Here is a 20,203-nt window from a genome sequence, read left to right as displayed (position 1 = left end):
GGCTAACACGGTGAAACCTCATCTCTACTAAACATACAAAAAATTAGCCAGGCATGGTGGTAGGCACCTGTAGTCCTACGCGGGAGGCTGAGACAGAAGAATCACTTGAGCCTGGGAGGCAGAGGTTGCAGTGAGCCGAGATCGCGCCACTGCACTCCAGCCTGGGCAACAAGAGCAAAACTCCACCTCAATAAATAAATAAATAAATAAATAAATAAATAAATAAATAAATAAATAAATAAAAAGCCTATTATAGATATCACTGTCCAATAGGAGAATTGCCAGAGATAGAAATGTATTTTTCTTTCCTTTGTAGGTCATCTACCACTACCTCTGAATGGTGCAACCAGAAACAAAATACTTAAGTGACTCTTGCTACTGTGCCTACTGAGATTTCTCCCACAGCTGAATGACCAGCAGGAGTGAAGGACCATAAGTCACAGGTGCAGGTTGGGAAACAGCAACATTATCGTATAAGTGCTCACCCTTCGTTTCCCCATTATCCCAGAAAAGTTCTCCTTTTGCTTCTTTGTTCTCATCTAGGGCAATGATAAGACCAAGAGGGTTCTTTCGACTGTGGGGAACAAGATTCAAGACACAAAGACAGGAGTCAGAGAATTTTGCCAGCCGAGCTGAGAATATTTCCATCAAATTTCAAATTGGAAAAGTTACTAGCAGCAGATGGTTCTGCTTTTCTTCAGGCACAAACACAAAATTGACAGGCGCCCCTATCTTTAATATCAACAGTGTCACAAGAGATAGAAATACCCCAAACATTAACAATAACATCTATGTTAGAGGCAAGAACTTAAGCACCAGAGGCACTGCAATAACTCAAATAAAAGCTGCTTCTGCAACTACTACTTAGAATACAGAGTATGAGAAGAGAAATAAATCTTGGGCAATAACTGGTTCAGTTATATCACTTTAGCAATGATGCCCTCAGTAGAAGTGTCCAGTGCTGTGAGGAAGACACATTTTCGCCTGCCTAAGGACCATTTATACTCAGAAAGCAACAACATATAATAAGGTCCATCTATTTAGTAGTAACTTATCTGATTATTGGTTATTAGTTTGTTTTGAAAGAAAAACAAATCATTCTAATCTACTCTATAATTTAGAATAAGAAACACAAAACATTACTCAAATACATGGTAAAGTAGATGGACAGAGAGGAAGAGGGGGAGAAGAGAGAAATTTTTATTTGGAGTCTCTCCTCATTCTATCACTGCTCTAAGCAACCTCCCAGTTTCCTGCTCTTCTTGTTTCTCCTCTGTCACTGGTCTCATATTCTCCATTGTATTCTTTCACAGTTCAGCCTTTCACTATGCAAGAAAGTTAGTTTTTATTATCAGCAAAAACATCTGCTTTCATTAAATATTCATGTACTGAGTAGCAGTCGTTTCTAAGAAGTCAATGAGATACAAAAATAAATAAATCACAACCCCTGATCTGAACGACCTTAAATATTATAGGAAAAAATAGGCACATTCATTAAAAAATGAAGGCGAACAATGAAAACAACACAAAAGTTAGGATATTCTAGGAGTCCAGAACCACAGTTCCAGAAATATGGTGGACCGGATATTCTTCTGGAGACTTACCCAGTAAAATATTCCCTGATCCTAGTTAAATTACAACACATATTCCTGTTAAAATATTGTTGGATTTGCAAGAAAGTAAGAAATATATCCAAGAGATGAAAACAATAACAGGATAACAAAACACTGAGCTAAAACCAAAAGGGGGCTTAGTAAGCAAAACCTAGAATCTCCGTGTGGCAAATTCCCATAGCAAGGTTAAAATTGGGCTACTAAGCCTAGTGATCCAAGGTAGAGAATGTGAACCTCTGATTCCCACATGAAGCTGAGATCCTTGAAGGAAGCTAACATAATGCCAGTTGGAAGCAATTCTTGGCTTGCACACAGAGGAGAAGGCAAATCATCTCTGGAGGAATGAGACCCACAGTTATAAGATTATCACAGCTTAAAAAAAATAAGATCACCAAGCACACAAGGTAATAAGTCAACATGAAAGAAAGTCAACAAAGTTAACTAACAATAGACTTAGACTCCCCTAAACATTTCAGATAATAAAATTTTCAAGCACAGAGTATACAACTGTTCTTGAAATACTAACAGTATTAAAGAAGAAAGACAAAATCATCTAAGGAGCAAAAAACAAAACAAAACAAAAATATAATATAAATATATATATAATATATAAATATATAATAAATATATAAATATAAAAATAAATATATAATTACACATATAAATTTCTATATTATATATTATATTACATATTGTATGTATATATAATATATATTACATATTGTATGTATACATAATATATATTACATATTGTATGTATACATAATATATATTACATATTGTATGTATACATAATATATATTACATATTGTATGTATACATAATATATATATTACATATTGTATGTATACATAATATATATATTACATATTGTATGTATATATAATATATATATTACATATTGTATGTATATATAATATATATCATATATTCATACATTGTATGTATATACGATATGTATATTATATATTCATACATTGTATGTATATATGATATATATTATATATTCATACATTGTATGTATATATTATATATTATATATTCATATATTGTATGTATATAATATATATTATATATTCATATATTGTATGTATATAATATATATTATATATTCATATATTGTATGTATATAATATATATTATATATTCATATATTGTATGTATATATAATATATATTATATATTCATATATTGTATGTATATATAATATATATTATATCATATATTATATGTATATGTAATATATAATATCATATATTGTATGTATATATAATATATATAATATATCATGTATTATAGGTATATATAATATATCATGTATTATAGGTATATATAATATATATAATATATCATGTATTATAGGGATATATAATATATATTATATATCATGTATTATAGGGACATATAATATATATTATATATCATATATTATAGGTACATATAATATATATTATATATCATATATTATAGGTATATATAATATATATTATATATCATATATTATATGATATATAATATATATTATATACATATATGTTATATAATATATATTATATATCATATATGTTATATAATATATATATTATATATCACATATATGATATATAATATACATATTATATATCATATATTGCACGTATATATAATATACATATTATATATCATATATTACACGTATATATAATATACATATTATATATCATATATTACACGTGTATACAATATACATATTATATATCATATATTACACGTGTATATAATATACATTATATATCATATATTACACGTGTATATAATATACATTATATATCATATATTACACGTGTATATAATATACATTATATATCATATATTACACGTGTATGTAATATACATTATATATCATATATTACACGTGTATGTAATATACATTATATATCATATATTACACGTGTATATAATATACATTATATATCATATATTACACGTGTATATAATATACATTATATATCATATATTACACGTGTATATAATATTCATTATACATCATATATTACACGTGTATATAATATTCATTATACATCATATATTACACGTGTATATAATATACATTATATATCATATATTACACGTGTATATAATATACATTATATATCATATATTACACGTGTATATAATATACATTATATATCATATATTACACGTGTATATAATATACATTATATATCATATATCGTAAGTGTATAATATACATTATATATCATATATCGTAAGTGTATATAATATACATTATATATCATATATCGTATGTGTATATAATATTCATTATATATATCGTATGTGTATATAATATTCATTATATATCATATATCGTATGTGTATATAATATTCATTATATATCATATATCGTATGTGTATATTATATATATATTATATATTATATATCGTATGTGTATATTATATATAGTATATATTATATGTCGTATGTGTATATAATGTATATATTATATGTCGTATGTGTATATAATGTATATATTATATGTCGTATGTGTATATAATGTATATATTATATATTATATGTCGTATGTGTATATAATGTATATATTATACGTCGTATGTGTATATAATGTACATATTATACGTCGTATGTGTATATAATGTATATATTATACGTCGTATGTGTATATAATGTATTATACGTCGTATGTGTATATAATGTATATATTATACGTCGTATGTGTATATAATGTATATATTATACGTCGTATGTGTATATAATGTATATATTATACGTCGTATGTGTATATAATGTATATATTAAACGTCGTATGTGTATATAATGTATATATTATACGTCGTATGTGTATATAATGTATATATTATACGTCGTATGTGTATATAATGTATATATTATACGTCGTATGTGTATATAATGTATATATTATACGTCGTATGTGTATATAATGTATATATTATATGTCGTATGTGTATATAATGTATATATTATATGTCGTATGTGTATATAATGTATATATTATATATTACATATTACATGATATATAATATATGTATTATATATTAGATAGTATATGTATATATAATATATGTATTATATATTAGATAGTATATGTATATATAATATATGTATTATATATTAGATATTATATGTATATATTATATATTTAGATATCATATGTATATATAATATATATATTTAGATATATCTATATAATTCATATTATATTTAGATATTATATGTATATATAATATATATATTATATTTAGATATTATATGTATATATAATATATATATTATATTTAGATATTATATGTATATATAATATAGATATTATATTTAGATATTATATGTATATATAATATAGATATTATATTTAGATATTATATGTATATATAATATAGATATTATATTTAGATATTATATGTATATATAATATATATATTATATTTAGATATTATATGTATATATAATATATATATTATATTTAGATATTATATGTATATATAATATATATATTATATTTAGATATTATATGTATATATAATATATATATTATATTTAGATATTATATGTATATATAATATAGATATTATATTTAGATATTATATGTATATATAATATATATATTATATTTAGATATTATATGTATATATAATATATATATTATATTTAGATATTATATGTATATATAATATAGATATTATATTTAGATATTATGTTTATATTTTATATATATTATATTTAGATATTATATGTATATATAATATATATATTATATTTAGATATTATATGTATATATAATATATATATTATATTTAGATATTATATGTATATATAATATAGATATTATATTTAGATATTATATGTATATATAATGTAGATATTATATTTAGATATTATATGTATATATAATATAGATATTATATTTAGATATTATATTTAGATATTATATGTATATATATTATATTTAGATATATGTATATATAATATATATATTATATTCAGATATTATATGTATATATAATATATGTAATATATTATATATAATATTATACATAATATATATTATATATTATATATAATATGTATATATAATATATATTATATATTATATATAATATGTATATATAATATATATTATATATTATATATAATATGTATATATAATATATATTATATATTATATATAATATGTATATATAATATATATTATATATATAATATGTATATATAATATATATTATATATTATATATATGTATATAATATATATTATATATTATATATTATATGTTATATTATATATTATATGTTATATATTATATGTATATATAATATATGTTATATATTATATGTATATATAATATATGTTATATATTATATGTATATATAATATATGTTATATATTATATGTATATATAATATATGTTATATATTATATGTATATATAATATATGTTATATATTATATGTATATATAATATATGTTATATATTATATGTATATATAATATATGTTATATATTATATGTATATATAATATGTTATATATTATATGTATATATAATATGTTATATATTATATATTATATGTATATATATTATATGTTATATATTATATGTATATATATTATATATTATATATTATATGTATATATTATATGTTATATATTGTATGTTATATATTATATGTATATATATTATATATTATATGTATATAATATAATATATATATATTATATTATATATATAATATATATATATTATATTATATATATATAATATATATATATTATATATATGTATATATATAATATATATATTATATATTATACGTATATATATAATATATATATTATATATTATACGTATATATATAATATATATATAAAATGACCAGAAACTTGAAAGTGGCAGTGCTTCCTCTGCTGGAAGATTAAGGAAAGATTTCTTGCTGCTGAAATGTAAAGTTTCATTTGGATCATTAAGAATACACCAGGCAAAGAATGTTGGAAAGGATAAGTGCAAAAGCCCAAATGTTGTAAAATACATACGTATGTCTGGGAAAGAGAAAGCTTTTGGCATGACTGGTCTGTATGTACATGAAGGTGTGGCAGGAGATAGAGTTGTTAAAGTAACGTGAAACCAGGTTGTGATTGGTTTTGAATACCCTATTAATGAAAGACTTTGGACTTCAAGCCTGGGAGCAACCAGTTGAGATTTTCATTTTGGAAAAATTAATTTGGTATCAGTGTGCAGAACAGCTTGAAGGTGAACAGTTAGAAAAAGGAAGCCAACTGGCATTGGATTCAGGGATATTTTCCATTAGTATCATAAAAAGTCTACAACTTGGAAAATTAAAGCAGTAAGAGAGGTTCAAAAGAAAAGACAGGTTTCTGGCTTCCAAAGAGCTCCTGGTCTATTAAAGACAAGTAGGCTAATACTCTCAAAGCCATGAAGATATAAATGTGCACCTCTTTAGTACAGATGGAATCTATTTTTTTGGAATCAATTACATATAAAGGAAAATTCAGTGACTTGGAGATTTGAGGTTTGCATAAGGTAATTTTTGAATCACAAGAAAGAAATCTTAGTGGGAGAAAAGAAATAGGAAGTTGAAATTCTAGGAGGGAGGAGAGTCAAGGTTCTCTAGAAATGAGAACAAGTGAGTCAAGGGTAAAGAAACATGGATGCAGTGTGGCCAAGGCAGACAGAGGGATCAACTGACCTGGTTTGCCCAGAATTGAAAAGCCTCCCAAGGGAAGAGACTTTTGGTGCTAAAACTGCAACAGTCGTGGCCAAACCAAAGAGGCTGACCACCTGGCTGTTAGTGTGTTTCGAAAAGAAATTCAAAGGGTTTAAGCAAGGACATGAATTCTGAAAGGACACTCCAGCCATGCTATACCTGGCCAGAGTGGTTGTATTTGGCTGCTGTGTGGGGAAGATGTAGCCTCCTCGAAGGTGAAGTCCAATTTTGTCTCCAGGAAGTTCCATCTCGACTTTTTGCTTCCTCCATCTCACTTGGCTCCCCTGATGCATGCAGATAAATCAAACACATTGGCATGACAGCATATTGCCCTTCACTGATTATCTACATGCCTGGTGATACACAGCTCTCTCCCTTTTCCAATTAGCTGAATTATGGTCTAGCCAGGCAATCAAACAACAGAAGGAAAAAAATCAAGAATAACATGTTCTGCTACCAGTTGGGGGTTTGTGAAAAAATTTATGCCATGCTGAGGCTATTTGATATATTATATAAACTGATAGTTTTAAACAGATAGTCTGATTCCTGACCAAGCTCACATTGTCCATCAGTTCCTCCAATATTAATTTATGAGATACTATGTCAGCCTATCTTATTGCTAAATAAAGTATATGAAGGTATTTTTTCACATTTCATCATGACTGATGTTAACGGTTTAGGTTAACTTTACCCAGGTTCTGCTATGAAATTACAGAAAACACTAAAAACTACTCCTCAGCATGTAGATGGATGTTTCTCTCTCCAGAAAGGTAGCTTGTCTATGCAGCTGCAGCTACAGTCTTAAGGAGTAGAAGAAAAGTCAAAGCTACTTACAGTCTCGTAGTCATACCAGACAGCATCAGGCACATATGCCATCACTTTCTCTGCACCCTGAAATTAAAAAAATGTAGTGTCCCCTGAGGGAAATAAAATGGATTTCTTTTTATTCTCTAGGGAATTTCTTAATCATACACAGAGAGGGCAGGAATGCCCTGCTATTATGCCTTTCTTCTGCTTCTCCTCTAATACAAATAATAGAAACTGTAACTTGGCAACCCAGAGAGAAATCCCAAACGTAGCCACATTAGGAATAATAATAATCATAAAATAATAATAAAACATGTGTGGTGACAAACATTCCAGCTTTACATGATTACCTCATTTAATTTTCCCAACATTCCCAAATGGTGGGTACCATTATTTTTAGTAGTAGTAGTATTACCCCTCTGCAGATGAGAAGCCAGCACAATAGTCACCCCTGATCACACAGGCTCAAAGTGGCAGAGACAACAATCACATCCCGATCAGCCTGACTTTAGAGTGAGTGTTGGGTCACTGCTCCATCCTGTTTCTACGTCATGGAGCAAGTCAGGATCTGCTATGAGAATCCAACAACAAATAGGACCACTCTTGATATAGTTTGGATGTTTGTCTGCCCAAATCTCATGTTGAAATGTAATCCCCAGTGTTGGAGGTGGGGCCTGGAGGGAGCTGACTGGATGATGAGGGCAGATTTCTCATGAATGGTTTACACCATTCCCTTGGTTCTGTCCTGGTGATAGTGAGTGAATTCTTGTAAGATTTGGTTGTTTAAAAGTGTGTGGCGGCCAAGCGCGGTGACTCACACCTGTAATCTCAGCACTTTGGAGGCTGAGGCAGGTGGATCATCTGAGGTCAGCAGTTTGAGACCAGCCTGGCTAACATGAAACCCCGTCTCTACAAAAAATACAAAATTAGCCGAGCTTGGTGGCAGGTGCCTGTAACCCCAGCTACTCAGGAGGCTGAGGCAGGAGAATCATGTGAACCCAGGAGTTGGAGGTTGCAGTGAGCTGGGATTGTGCCACTGCACTCCAGCCTGGGTGACAGAGTGAGACTCCATCTCAAAAAAAAAAAAAAAAAAAAGTGTGTGGCAACTCCCCCCACCCCGTCTTGTTCCTGCTTTTGCTATATGACATCGCTGCTCCTCTTCACCTTCCTCCATGACTGTAAGCTTCCTGAGGCCTCCCTAGAAGCTGCACAGATACCAGCATCATGCTTCTTGTAAAGCTTTCAGAACTGTGAGCCAATGAAATCTCTTTTCTTTGTAAATCACTCAGTGTCAGGAATTTCTGTATAGCAATGCAAGAACAACCTAACATAACTTGTAACTCTAGAGTTTCCAGTAGATGCTTCTAAACTGGTTGGGAACTTGATCAAGAGAAAAAAGAAATTCTAGAAAGAAAAATGTGTAGTTACCAGATGTCTAGCTTCTCAAAACCTAGCACACTCTCTTCAAGGCTGACTCAGTCACAGATGTCAGAAGTGAGTTTGGAATAAGAAGCAGAGAGGAGTTTGCAGGGCAGCAGATACAGATGCAGAGATCTCTAGTGTATCTCTGTGGGAACACTTACTTCATCCAGAACTGGAGTGATGAGGAGGCCGGGCCCCCATAAGAACTGTTGGTGCACATCCCAAGTGCTGTTGTCCTCGTAGAACCTGAAAACCAGAGAGACAGTTCACTGAGATTTGAGCCACTGCCAATGAGATTTGTAGCAGCTCTACTCACACACAACCTGTTGAAAGCATGCAGGCCGTCTGCCCAGGCAAACCCCCCAAATTATTCTGTGACACCTACTCAAGCCCCTCTGCACCCCTAGACAGATTCCCCTTCCCCAGCTCATGTCTCCTATTCTTCCCTCAGGATAAACAGATGTTTCTATTCCAGTATGTATGCTAGGCAGGTCCCAGGCTGTAATTCTATTTTCCATAGCCCTCCTTTTTAAAAAAAGTAAGTTGAGATCCGGACATTCGCATCAACACGGATGGAACTGGAGATCATTACGTTACATGAAATAAGTCAGGCATATAAAGACAAACATCACATGTTTTCACCTATTTGTGGGATCTAAAAGCCAAGAACTTATGGACACAGAGAGTAGAAGGACGGTTACCAGAGGCTGGGAAGGGTAGTGAGGGGCTGGGAGGGAGGTCAAGATGGTTAACAGATACAAAAAAAAATAGTTAGAAAGAATGAATAAAACCTACCTTTTGATAGCAAAATAGGGTGACTATAGTCAATAATAACTTAATCGTACATTTAAAAGTAACTTAAAGAGTGTGCTTGGATTCTTTATAACTCAAAGGATAAATGCTCGAGGGGATGGATACCTCATTCCCATAATGTTCTTATTTCACATCGCACACTTATATCAAAACATCTCATATACCCCATAAATATATGCAACTACTATGTACCAACAAAAATTTAAAATTAAAAACTTAAATAATCAATACATTTCATAACTTCAGCTGACTATCAAGAAACTGGATCTGATCATACAAAATATCAGATAATTTAACATTTTACTTTTTTCTCTTTCAGAATATCTGCCTTTTAACAAGAAATTTCATGAGCAGACAAAAACTTCCCAAAATAATGAATATATAATAGCCTGATACGTGCCTGAGGGCCTCATATGTCACCCACATAAGGGAGTTGACTGTATTTTGACAAGAAAATGCTCTTAAGTGCCTTGTTTTAGAATTAAATTAGAGATGTTCATTGCCTGAGAAATAAGAATTCTGAAATTCTACAAATCCTTTATAATATCCTCATTTGTATTTGTATTATAGGCTCATTCCTACAGCTTGAACATAGTTCTGGCATTATAGTGCATTACAGATGAGACCATCACAGTCAAGATTTCAAATCCTTTGAATTAAGACTGAAGAAACTAAGGAAAAAATGATTTGTCTAAGATACAGAGTTAGTGAATGGCAGAACAAAGAAAAGACCTGTAGTCCCATGACTTTTAGTCTAATTCTCTCACCAAAAGGGAACAGGCGATGCTTACAAATACCAACTAGGTATTCCAGTTAGATAGATAGATAGATAGATTAATGAATATAGATAGCTAGATTACAGATATAGATACAGATAGATATGAATAACTGCCTGAATTGTTTCAGTTTTCACTCTGATATTTGATGATATAGTCAATGTCATTCCAGATGCATTAATAAAATTTAAGGAGGTTAGGTGAACTTACTCATGCAAAAGGGGCCTGGCCACCGTGTCCCCTCGGCTGTGAGCACGGAAGAAGAGGGTGTATAGGTAGGGCAATAGAGTATAGCGGATGTTAAGGTAGTGCCTGGAGGAATTCAACAGCAGGGAGTCAGCTCCAAAGGAGGCAGGATCCTGGTCCTGGGAGGAAATAGGAGTTTGCAGTTGTGGTTTGGCTGCAGGATAGCAGAAGCACCTGCAGAATTCCAGACCTCATTCATTACAACCAAGAATTTCCCTCCTGAATGACAGAGGCCAAGGTTGCAAACCTCGCTTCTGAGTAGTACCAAGTGTCTCTCCTTGAGTTTTCGATTCAACCTGCCTTCCTCATTCTTTAAGATTCCTCTCTTGGGAGGCTGCAATTTAAATAATTTTGAAGTATTTCCTTGTTTGCTTCTTATTTAAAAGCAAACAATGTAGATAAAGCGTACAGAAGTTTGATGAAAGACCTTTACAGACACACCATTTCCTTGAATGCAACAGTAAATAACAGGCTGAGGCCGTTGGGCATTTCGATGATACAGCACAGATTCTGGTTAATTGCACATGATAGTGCAAATTAGAGTAAGTGAAGACCAGGTAAGAGGTTGGTTCAGCAGATCTCTTGGCAAGGATGCAGACAGATCTAGTCCTAATGTATGCCAAATTTATTCTGACTCTATGTCCTAGGAGCCTTACCTTGTAGCCTTGGCCATTGTGATTTCTAGAAAACGGATAAAATGCACCCAACTGCATCCACCGCCTACAGAGCTCCTCAGGGGTGTCCAAAGCAAAGCCACATATGTCAGGACCCACCTGGAAGGACACACAGACAACAGGTATACCTCACTTCCTTCTAACCACCCTCCTTTGCTTTCCACCAGGGACCTCCCAACTGAACCTTGCTTAAACCTCCTACCGAGAAGGCTAGGAGGGTGGTCAAAATTTGGTCATAGCCTGTGTCCACTCTTGAATGCTGGATGACTTTGAGTAAGTTACCTAACCCTTCTGTGCCTCAATTTCCTCATTTTGTCAGTGAGTACTAAATTACTACACAGGTATTTCGTAAATGAATGAGGTAATAAAAGTAATACACTTTACATAAAGAGCTTTTGGATGCATAGTACCTAGTAATACTGCTGATATTATTATTTTGACCTCACCACTATCAGCATTATTTTTCTAAAGCCTAAGTCTGACCATGTCACTCACCTATTAAAAAATCTCCGGGACTTCCTTGCTGTTCAACCTTTTAGATCTTTAAAACCTGGTTCCAACCCATCTTTTTAGCATCATTTCTCATTCCAGTCCCACACACCAATCCTTATAGATACATCAAATAATCCCCCTTATACTGTTTGTGCTCATTTTTATTTCTCAGTGTTAAAATGAACTTCCCCCCTGATTAGTCAGATGAAAAAATACTCACTTTTCAAGGTTAATCTCAAATGTCATCTTTTCCATGAAGTGTCCTTGACTCCCTGCCTTGATTCCTTTTGTCCCTCATAATTTTGTCAGATAAATCCCTTTCTCGGGATCTCCCATAACATTTAACTCATACGTCCCTGTTGGTCTTTTTACCCTAGTTTGTCACAATTATTTGTTTACACATCTGTCTCCTCTTACTAAACTGTAAACCCTTGGGGCAAAGAGAAGGTACATCTTTACTATATTTATGCTTTCCTTCCCTCTCACCATGCCTACTCTGCTCAAGACCTTGAACACTCTAGGAGTTCAATTCATAAATATGTTGGATTTAACTAAAAAATGCCAAAGACTGTAGGGTGCTGGCAATGTTATAGTTCTTCATCTTGGTACTAGATACACAGATGTGTTCAGGTGGTGAAATTCATCAGCTGTGTTCTTAAGGATACATACACTTTTCTGTATAAAGTATGTTACACTTTAATAGAAAGATATATTCCAGCACATATCAAAGTTGCACGTTCTGTCTTCATAAGGCAGTACAGGAAAGAATGTCATGGTATCAAAGCCCTGCTGATGTGGATGAAGCACATGCTCTCAAGATATTAAATCCCCAGCCATGGCAGGCAGGAGAGGGGAGCTTTGTGGTTTGAAAACTTTCTAGAATGAGGTTGCCTGGGAATTCAGGTTCATAAGAGAGCTTGAGGTAGCAGCTCACCATTGGGATGCCAAAAAGGTTGAACTCAAGCACGCCAGGGATGGACCATCTCAGGTCATCCCAGGTGGCAGTGTTGTCTCCTAACCAATGTGCTGCAAACTTGCCAGAGCCCGCAAAGGTAGAACGGGTCAGAATGAAGCTTCTCTTATTAGGGAACACAGTCTTGGCAGCTCTGCAAGGGAGAGAGATTTAAGGAGTCAATGTGGGATCTTAGCTTGTCTCAGCCAAGGGGATACAGCAACAATACAAAAGACATTAAAAGTGAATAACCCATTCTCTTCCAACTCTCTTTCGGTACAATTAGAGTCCCTGTTGGGAGCATTCTGTATCATTAAATGTTTTGTTTTGCTTTGTTTTGTCTTAAGAAATTTTATGCATTAGCCCCATAATCTCCAAGAATTAAAAACATATATATATTCTTTATATTCAATAATTAGCAGGTCATAGCCATAGTGGCCTTACTCTGCTGTGGCGACCGCCATGGAGTAGCCATACAGATTGTGAATGTCATACTGCTTGCCCCAGTGCTGCACTGCATCCATACAGAGAGTCTTGCAGAACAGGTACCCATCCAGGATTCCTGAAACAAAAGCAGGATCAATCAGTGAGAGCCTAAGTTGCACATTTTCTGCTCCTTGACTATCACAATCCGAAATGACAGCCCCCTGGGCAGGCACTTTTGTGGGCATCCTGTAAACAGTCACACTGCTCCCTTACTATTAGAATGCTATCCACTTGGAGTAGTTTCTCTGATATATAAATGAATTCTGCTGACCCACACACATCCTCCCACTGGAGCTCTCACGTGATTAGAGGCAGACACTTGGAAGTAAGAAGATTCATTCAGGCCTGAGGTTCAATCTGAATTCTCCAAACTGAGCTAAGTTAAGTGGTCCAAGAATGGAAATACTGAATGAAAGTGTAAATTAATTTCTGACTCCTTCTCTCCCCTGATCATATATTGTAGAGAATGATTTCCAGTCTCTCCTGTATTCATCTATTCCTCTCTGCTCCCATTGCACCACTCTGTTTGAGATCCACATTATCTGTGGATCTTAACTATTGCAGTAGCTTCGTCATGTCTTATTTACCTCCTATGTATCTATTTCTAGTTCACACTATATATTAATGTCAGGTTCATATTTCCAAAATCATCTGACTACCATGCTTCTCTATTACTAAAAGATAAGTAGCTTCTAACACCAAAAGAGTAAAATATGAACTGTTTAGCCTCTCATCCAAGCCCCTCAGCATTTGATTCTAACCTTCCTGCCCCAATTTCCTGTCTTCCCACCATATTGAAGCCTTCATAAGTTATTATCATCTTAGCAGTTTTTTCCTTTCTCAATCAAGATATAATCTGTCCTTGAACCTCTAGCATTCTTCAAACTATGGCCGATGCTATGATGCCAAGGCCACACCCTGAGAGATAGTGTTGTCCAAAGTTCAATCAAAGCTGAGTATCATCACGTTCACTGACTTTGACCTCCCAGGTCATGAGTTCTGTCTTTTCATCCTGTAACTCAGTTCTTCACACTGTGGACACATCAGACATAACCCTTACCTGATGACCAAGGCTGGTTACCTGGTGTCTCTCTGGTAAACCCTGGCCTGTGGGTGCATACCTGAGAATGACATAAACTTACCACTAGCCTCTGGCCTCTACACTTTATCCTCTCTAGATCTTCCCTAGAAATAGCTTTGAGTATAAGTAGAAGTACTAGATTGCCCCTTTTGAATTTGTGCATGTTTTAGGAAAGCATAGTGTGTTTTTATTTTCCTTCCTAGTTTTCCTTATATATTACCCACATATTTCTTTTTCTATGCACAATTATGAACAAATTCCCTTGCCAGATTTTTCAGATCTGTCCTTATGAATTTATAATATGAAATACATATGGCTACTTTAATCTGCTGACCACCAAGACTTACTGGGAGTGAATGGGGGATTATTTAGGTTGTTTGTGGAACATCCTGAGACCGAACCATCAACAAAGTTGGAGACTTCATTCATATCCTACAAGACAAAGAGCAAAAACTATTAAGAAAAAGTAACATGTTATCTTATGATGTCGTGATGGTGTCTTTTTTTAATTAATCAGATAAATTATTCCAGATATTTTAAAGGGGTATTTGTATAAATGGAATAGAGTAGGTGTTCTTGTCTTGTCTACCCACTGAAGGCTTCATGAAGAAGGTTCTTAACCTCTCTTCAAATAATATGTCTATAATCGCTGAAAATGAACAATTCCCAAACATATCAGGTGAAAAAAGTTTCAATTTATATGATGACATGTTTCAACTTATACATTTTTCCATATATCGAAATATAACTGTAAATACATATACATATAAATACATATAAACATATATGTGGAGAGAAAAGGAGAGAGAGAGCACATAAAGGTCTAGAAAGATGCATTCCAACGTATCGATAATAAATGTCTTTAGTTGCTATAATTTAAGAGGATTTTTGCTTTTATCTTTTTAACTCTCTGTATTGTTTGAATTTTCTACAGTTCTCTTAGAAAAAGAAAAAGTTTCAACTCTGGAGCTCCCTAAATTTTGCTAACCCTCAGTTAGGTTACTTTCTTTCATCTGACATCATATGAGACATTTTTCTTTACCACAGGCATAGTTTGTTCATGCACCTGAGTACTTTGGCTCTGATCAATTTGTTCAACATGTCCAAAAGGAAGAGTCTTCAACTAGCAATTGAACAATTTGTATACTTTGCAACAATGTAAGGAGTACATGACCTATTCTGACTTCAGCTCATTCCTTCGTAAAAAAAAAAAAAAAAAAAAAGAGCTAGACTTGGGAAAAAAAATTCTGAGTTTCCTTTCAGCTCTAACATTTTGATTTTTATTCTAAGCTATGTGTTTTAGCAAGATTATTTAAATAGTAAGAGAGTGAATATTGAGAGTGATTGTTATACTTCCTTTCTTCTCCTCCTCCTCTCCCTATGCTCTGTGACTCAAAGATACAGATACAGATATACACAATTTGAATATTTGTCACCTAATAATCCAAGTGTAAACAACTCACAATCCAGATTCCATCAAACTCTACTTGATTGTGAAAAAGCTCAAATTCCTTTGTCCACCAAACAGCACAGTTGGGATTGGTATAATCAGGAAACACAGTTTGTCCAGGCCAGACCTTCAGGAGAAAAAGAAAAACACTGGTAAGAGTAAATTAAACAAATATAGACTAAAGGAAAGTACTTTGCAAAGAAATTCCTAATATGATCACAGCAACCGAGGTACCCAGGAACATATCCTTTTTAGTTAAGAAGGTGCGGTGCTCACAATACTTAAAATAAATGCCAGGGTCACTCGAAGAAATATGCATTTAAAAAAATGTTTAAGTCCTTAATGAATAAATTCGTGGATAAAGGCATTGTCTAACTTAGTCATCTTTAACTCTCTACACTTCTTTGTTCTTAATTCTGGGAATAGTAAATGGGGGAAGAGCATTGTGTAAATTTCAGCTAGTCCACTATAAGCTGTGGATTCTAACATCATTTACTTTTCTCTCTTTCTTTCCTATCCAATTTCCCCCAGACACTATACTCTGAAAAGGTCATCAGAGGCCTTAGAAGTGAACAAGCAGATAACACCTTCCTGAAAAAACAAGGACAAACAAACATTTGAGAAAGAAGTGGGTACACTTGTCAAATAATGCAGGAAAATTGAGTAAGAAGAGGTATGAAACAGTTCCGCTGGACTTACCAGTGAGAAAGTAACGGGTGCTTTTTGCCAGAGCGGTATCAGGGAAGTGAGGGGGGAAGGAAGGAGACCACAGTCAGCTGCAGAGTGTGTGGGAGGTGAGAAAGTGGACACTCAGTGTGTGAGCTGTTGTTTAAAGGGACTTACTTGGCTGTGAAGGGAATCAAAAAGCTACGATGGCCGGCTTGCACTTGGGCATGAAAGGGCAGAGGAGAATTTATCCCCAGCATATATAAATATACTGAAAATGTACAATAAAACAATTACATGCACACACACACACACACACACAGACACATTCAAACACCCCTATGCAGCCCCTCCACCAGCCTCCAGCCTTCCCATTAAGTTACCTCCCCAATGAGTGGAGTCACTCCATCTGAACTATTCACCCATATCTTCATATCTGAACCCCTGTCATATGGGCCATAGGGTTTACTTGAGGAAGAGTTGTTGGAGATGGCTGGATCCTAAAAATAGGAAGAATACAATGAACAAACTAGCTGGAAACCGGAGGCACTGAAAGGAGACTGGGAACTGGGGGAGAAAGCAGGAGAGATGGGTGTATGATACGGAGGAGCAAATACCTAATTTGGTGGAAAGAGGGCAGTACATACCACAATGATGACAAGCTTCTGTCCATTATTGTGTAACTCGTTGACAAATTCAGGGAAGCCTTTAAAATCCACTGAATCATAAGTGAAGTCCCTTCTCTCATCCATATAATCAATATCAGCATGCTGAACATCCTGAAAGAATATACAAAGTCCACAATTAGCACCTAGGAATTTCCATAGTAAAATGAAATCAAATTTTCACTGTTATTATTCAGGATAAACAACTCTGTTCTGGGCTCTAAATAGAGTTCTTAATCAGTTCCTGGCATCTGAGTACTTCTTTTCCAATGTTGATTTCAAAAACACACGACTGGTTGGTTCCCTAGGGCTTGGCCCCCTCCCTGCCATCAGGTTAACTGCATCATCCAATCCTTGCCTGGCACTCTGGCATTAAAAACCAATCAAGCAAGCAACACCAATTATGACAAACCCCTAAGACAATCAGACATATCCACCTAAGAAATGACCTAAATTTCACCCTATTCACAAGATAAAGAAGGGAAGAGACTGTCTCTCTCCCACATCTCCCTCATTTTACTACCCCACATTTTATTTTGTTACTTCGCTTCTACCCCACATCTTTGTTGTTTATGCTATCCCAATTTTACCTGTATAAACAGTGAAGCCCAGAATAAAATGTACCCTTCTCTACAACCTAGGTTTGTCTCCAATGGAATAGAGTGGGGGAGAGAAGAGGATTATTCTAGAAGACTACTGAGCTTTTCCCTTTGCATCTCTTGTTAAATTTCACTCCCAATAGTATCCAATATCATAGGTACATTCAAACTTAGCCATTCAAAGTACAAAAATGTTTTATTACATGTCCATACTATATCCTTTCATTCACTTAAATGTGACAGATTTTGACATGTATACTGAACTCAGGTAATAGTGTTCAATTCCCTGTCTAAACACTCCCTCTCACATCTCACACCACTAGGCAGCAGTAACAGTCCAATTCTTTCATTTCCTGGATCACTTAAAAAGGAAATGTCTATCTATAAGTAAGGAAAATGGCATAAAAAAAGAGATGACCTCTATGATGTTAGAGATCTGGGCTTGAAAACTAGTTCCCCTAGTTTTCTAATATTAAATGGGATTTCTAATCTTAAATGGAGTCCTTTTTTTTCCCTCAAGACTGAGTCTAGCTCTGTTGCCCAGGCTGGAATACAGTGGCACGATCTCAGCTCACTGCAACCTCCACCTCCAGGGTTCAAGTGATTCTCATGTCTCAGCTTCCCGAATAGCTGGGATTACAGGCACCTGCCACCATGCCCAGCTAATTTTTTTGTTGTTGTTGTATTTTTAGTAGAGACGGGGTTTCACTGTGTTGGCCAGGCTGGTCTCGAACTCCTGACCTCGTGATCTGCCTGCCTTGGCTTCCCAAGTGCTGGGATTACAAGTGTGAGCCACTGTGCCCAGCCAATGGAATTCTAATAGTAAAATGGAGTTGCTGAGATAACTAAAGAAGGCATGTAGCACACTGCCTGCCACGAGAGTTCACCACGTTGTAGCACTCATTATTATGGTGGCTGTGTTAATTGTCCTTTGGCTCAGTCCTGCTTTTACCACTTTTTCTGTTATCCCTCCCCCAACCCACCCCCACATGCATAAAGACACGTCATGCTGGAGAATGAGTAGTGGGACTCGCAGCCAAATTGAGAGTGAATTCATCCACCCAAACGTCTTTATCTGCCCTGACTTTCTGCTTCCCCCATCTCCTCAGTGTTCCTAGGCTTTTTGAATCTCAATTCCATTAAGCACTTTCTTTTACACATCATATTTATGGACTATCTTTCCGTCAAATTACAAAATGTCTACTGAAGCTCAGCTTCAATGGCAAAATGACCACTCTAAAGAGAAAGGCAAATTTTGCTTATTCCCAATTTAATAGTAATCAAAATATCAATGTAAAAACACATGGACCTGAAACTTGTATTATTTTTCACATCCATGTAGTCACATGCAGTATTTGTTCTGTCATCAATTACCTATGTGGTCTTGGTCATAGTATTTCCCCTGACAGCCTCAATTTACTATCTGTGAAAAAAAATGATGCTAACCCAGATGGCTCATGGTTGTTCTAGCAATATAATTAGTTTGAACTAAATTCATGGGGTCTAGAACTACTCCACTTCCTCAATTCCTCTTTAAAATATCTGTTAAAACATAGGTAGGGAGCCTGGGGATCTGCATCATTCTTGACCTGACACTAAACCTAAGAACCTAAGAATTTAGACATGAAATCTTATGCCAGAATCTTAGAGGAATTTCTGAAAATATGATACAACTTTTATGGTAAGTCCCTGCCATGACACTTTTGAGTCAAAGCAAACCA

At 33.5% G+C, this 20,203-nt stretch overlaps 1 protein-coding gene across 12 annotated transcripts in view; it reads right to left on the bottom strand.

Moving 5' to 3' along the window:
• The window catches only part of MGAM (maltase-glucoamylase), a 120,230-nt gene that overhangs the window by 58,389 nt on the left and 41,638 nt on the right, over window positions 1-20,203 (bottom strand). For all 12 annotated transcript variants that reach the window (XM_017012772.2, XM_047421011.1, XM_011516672.3 and 9 more), the window contains 12 exons: window positions 17,866-17,997; window positions 17,602-17,718; window positions 16,566-16,679; window positions 15,450-15,534; window positions 13,980-14,097; window positions 13,518-13,689; window positions 12,074-12,190; window positions 11,382-11,536; window positions 9,744-9,828; window positions 8,188-8,244; window positions 7,513-7,637; window positions 486-574 (listed from right to left, as the gene is read on the bottom strand). In XM_017012772.2, coding sequence (XP_016868261.1) covers window positions 486-574; window positions 7,513-7,637; window positions 8,188-8,244; window positions 9,744-9,828; window positions 11,382-11,536; window positions 12,074-12,190; window positions 13,518-13,689; window positions 13,980-14,097; window positions 15,450-15,534; window positions 16,566-16,679; window positions 17,602-17,718; window positions 17,866-17,997 — 1,366 coding nt within the window. The remainder of the gene's footprint in view (window positions 1-485; window positions 575-7,512; window positions 7,638-8,187; window positions 8,245-9,743; window positions 9,829-11,381; window positions 11,537-12,073; window positions 12,191-13,517; window positions 13,690-13,979; window positions 14,098-15,449; window positions 15,535-16,565; window positions 16,680-17,601; window positions 17,719-17,865; window positions 17,998-20,203) is intronic.

Source organism: Homo sapiens, chromosome 7, assembly GCF_000001405.40.
Source record: "Homo sapiens chromosome 7, GRCh38.p14 Primary Assembly".
Taxonomy (NCBI): Eukaryota; Metazoa; Chordata; class Mammalia; order Primates; family Hominidae; genus Homo; species Homo sapiens.
Note: the sequence above shows the minus strand (reverse complement) of the source record. Positions and strands in the feature narration are given on the sequence as shown.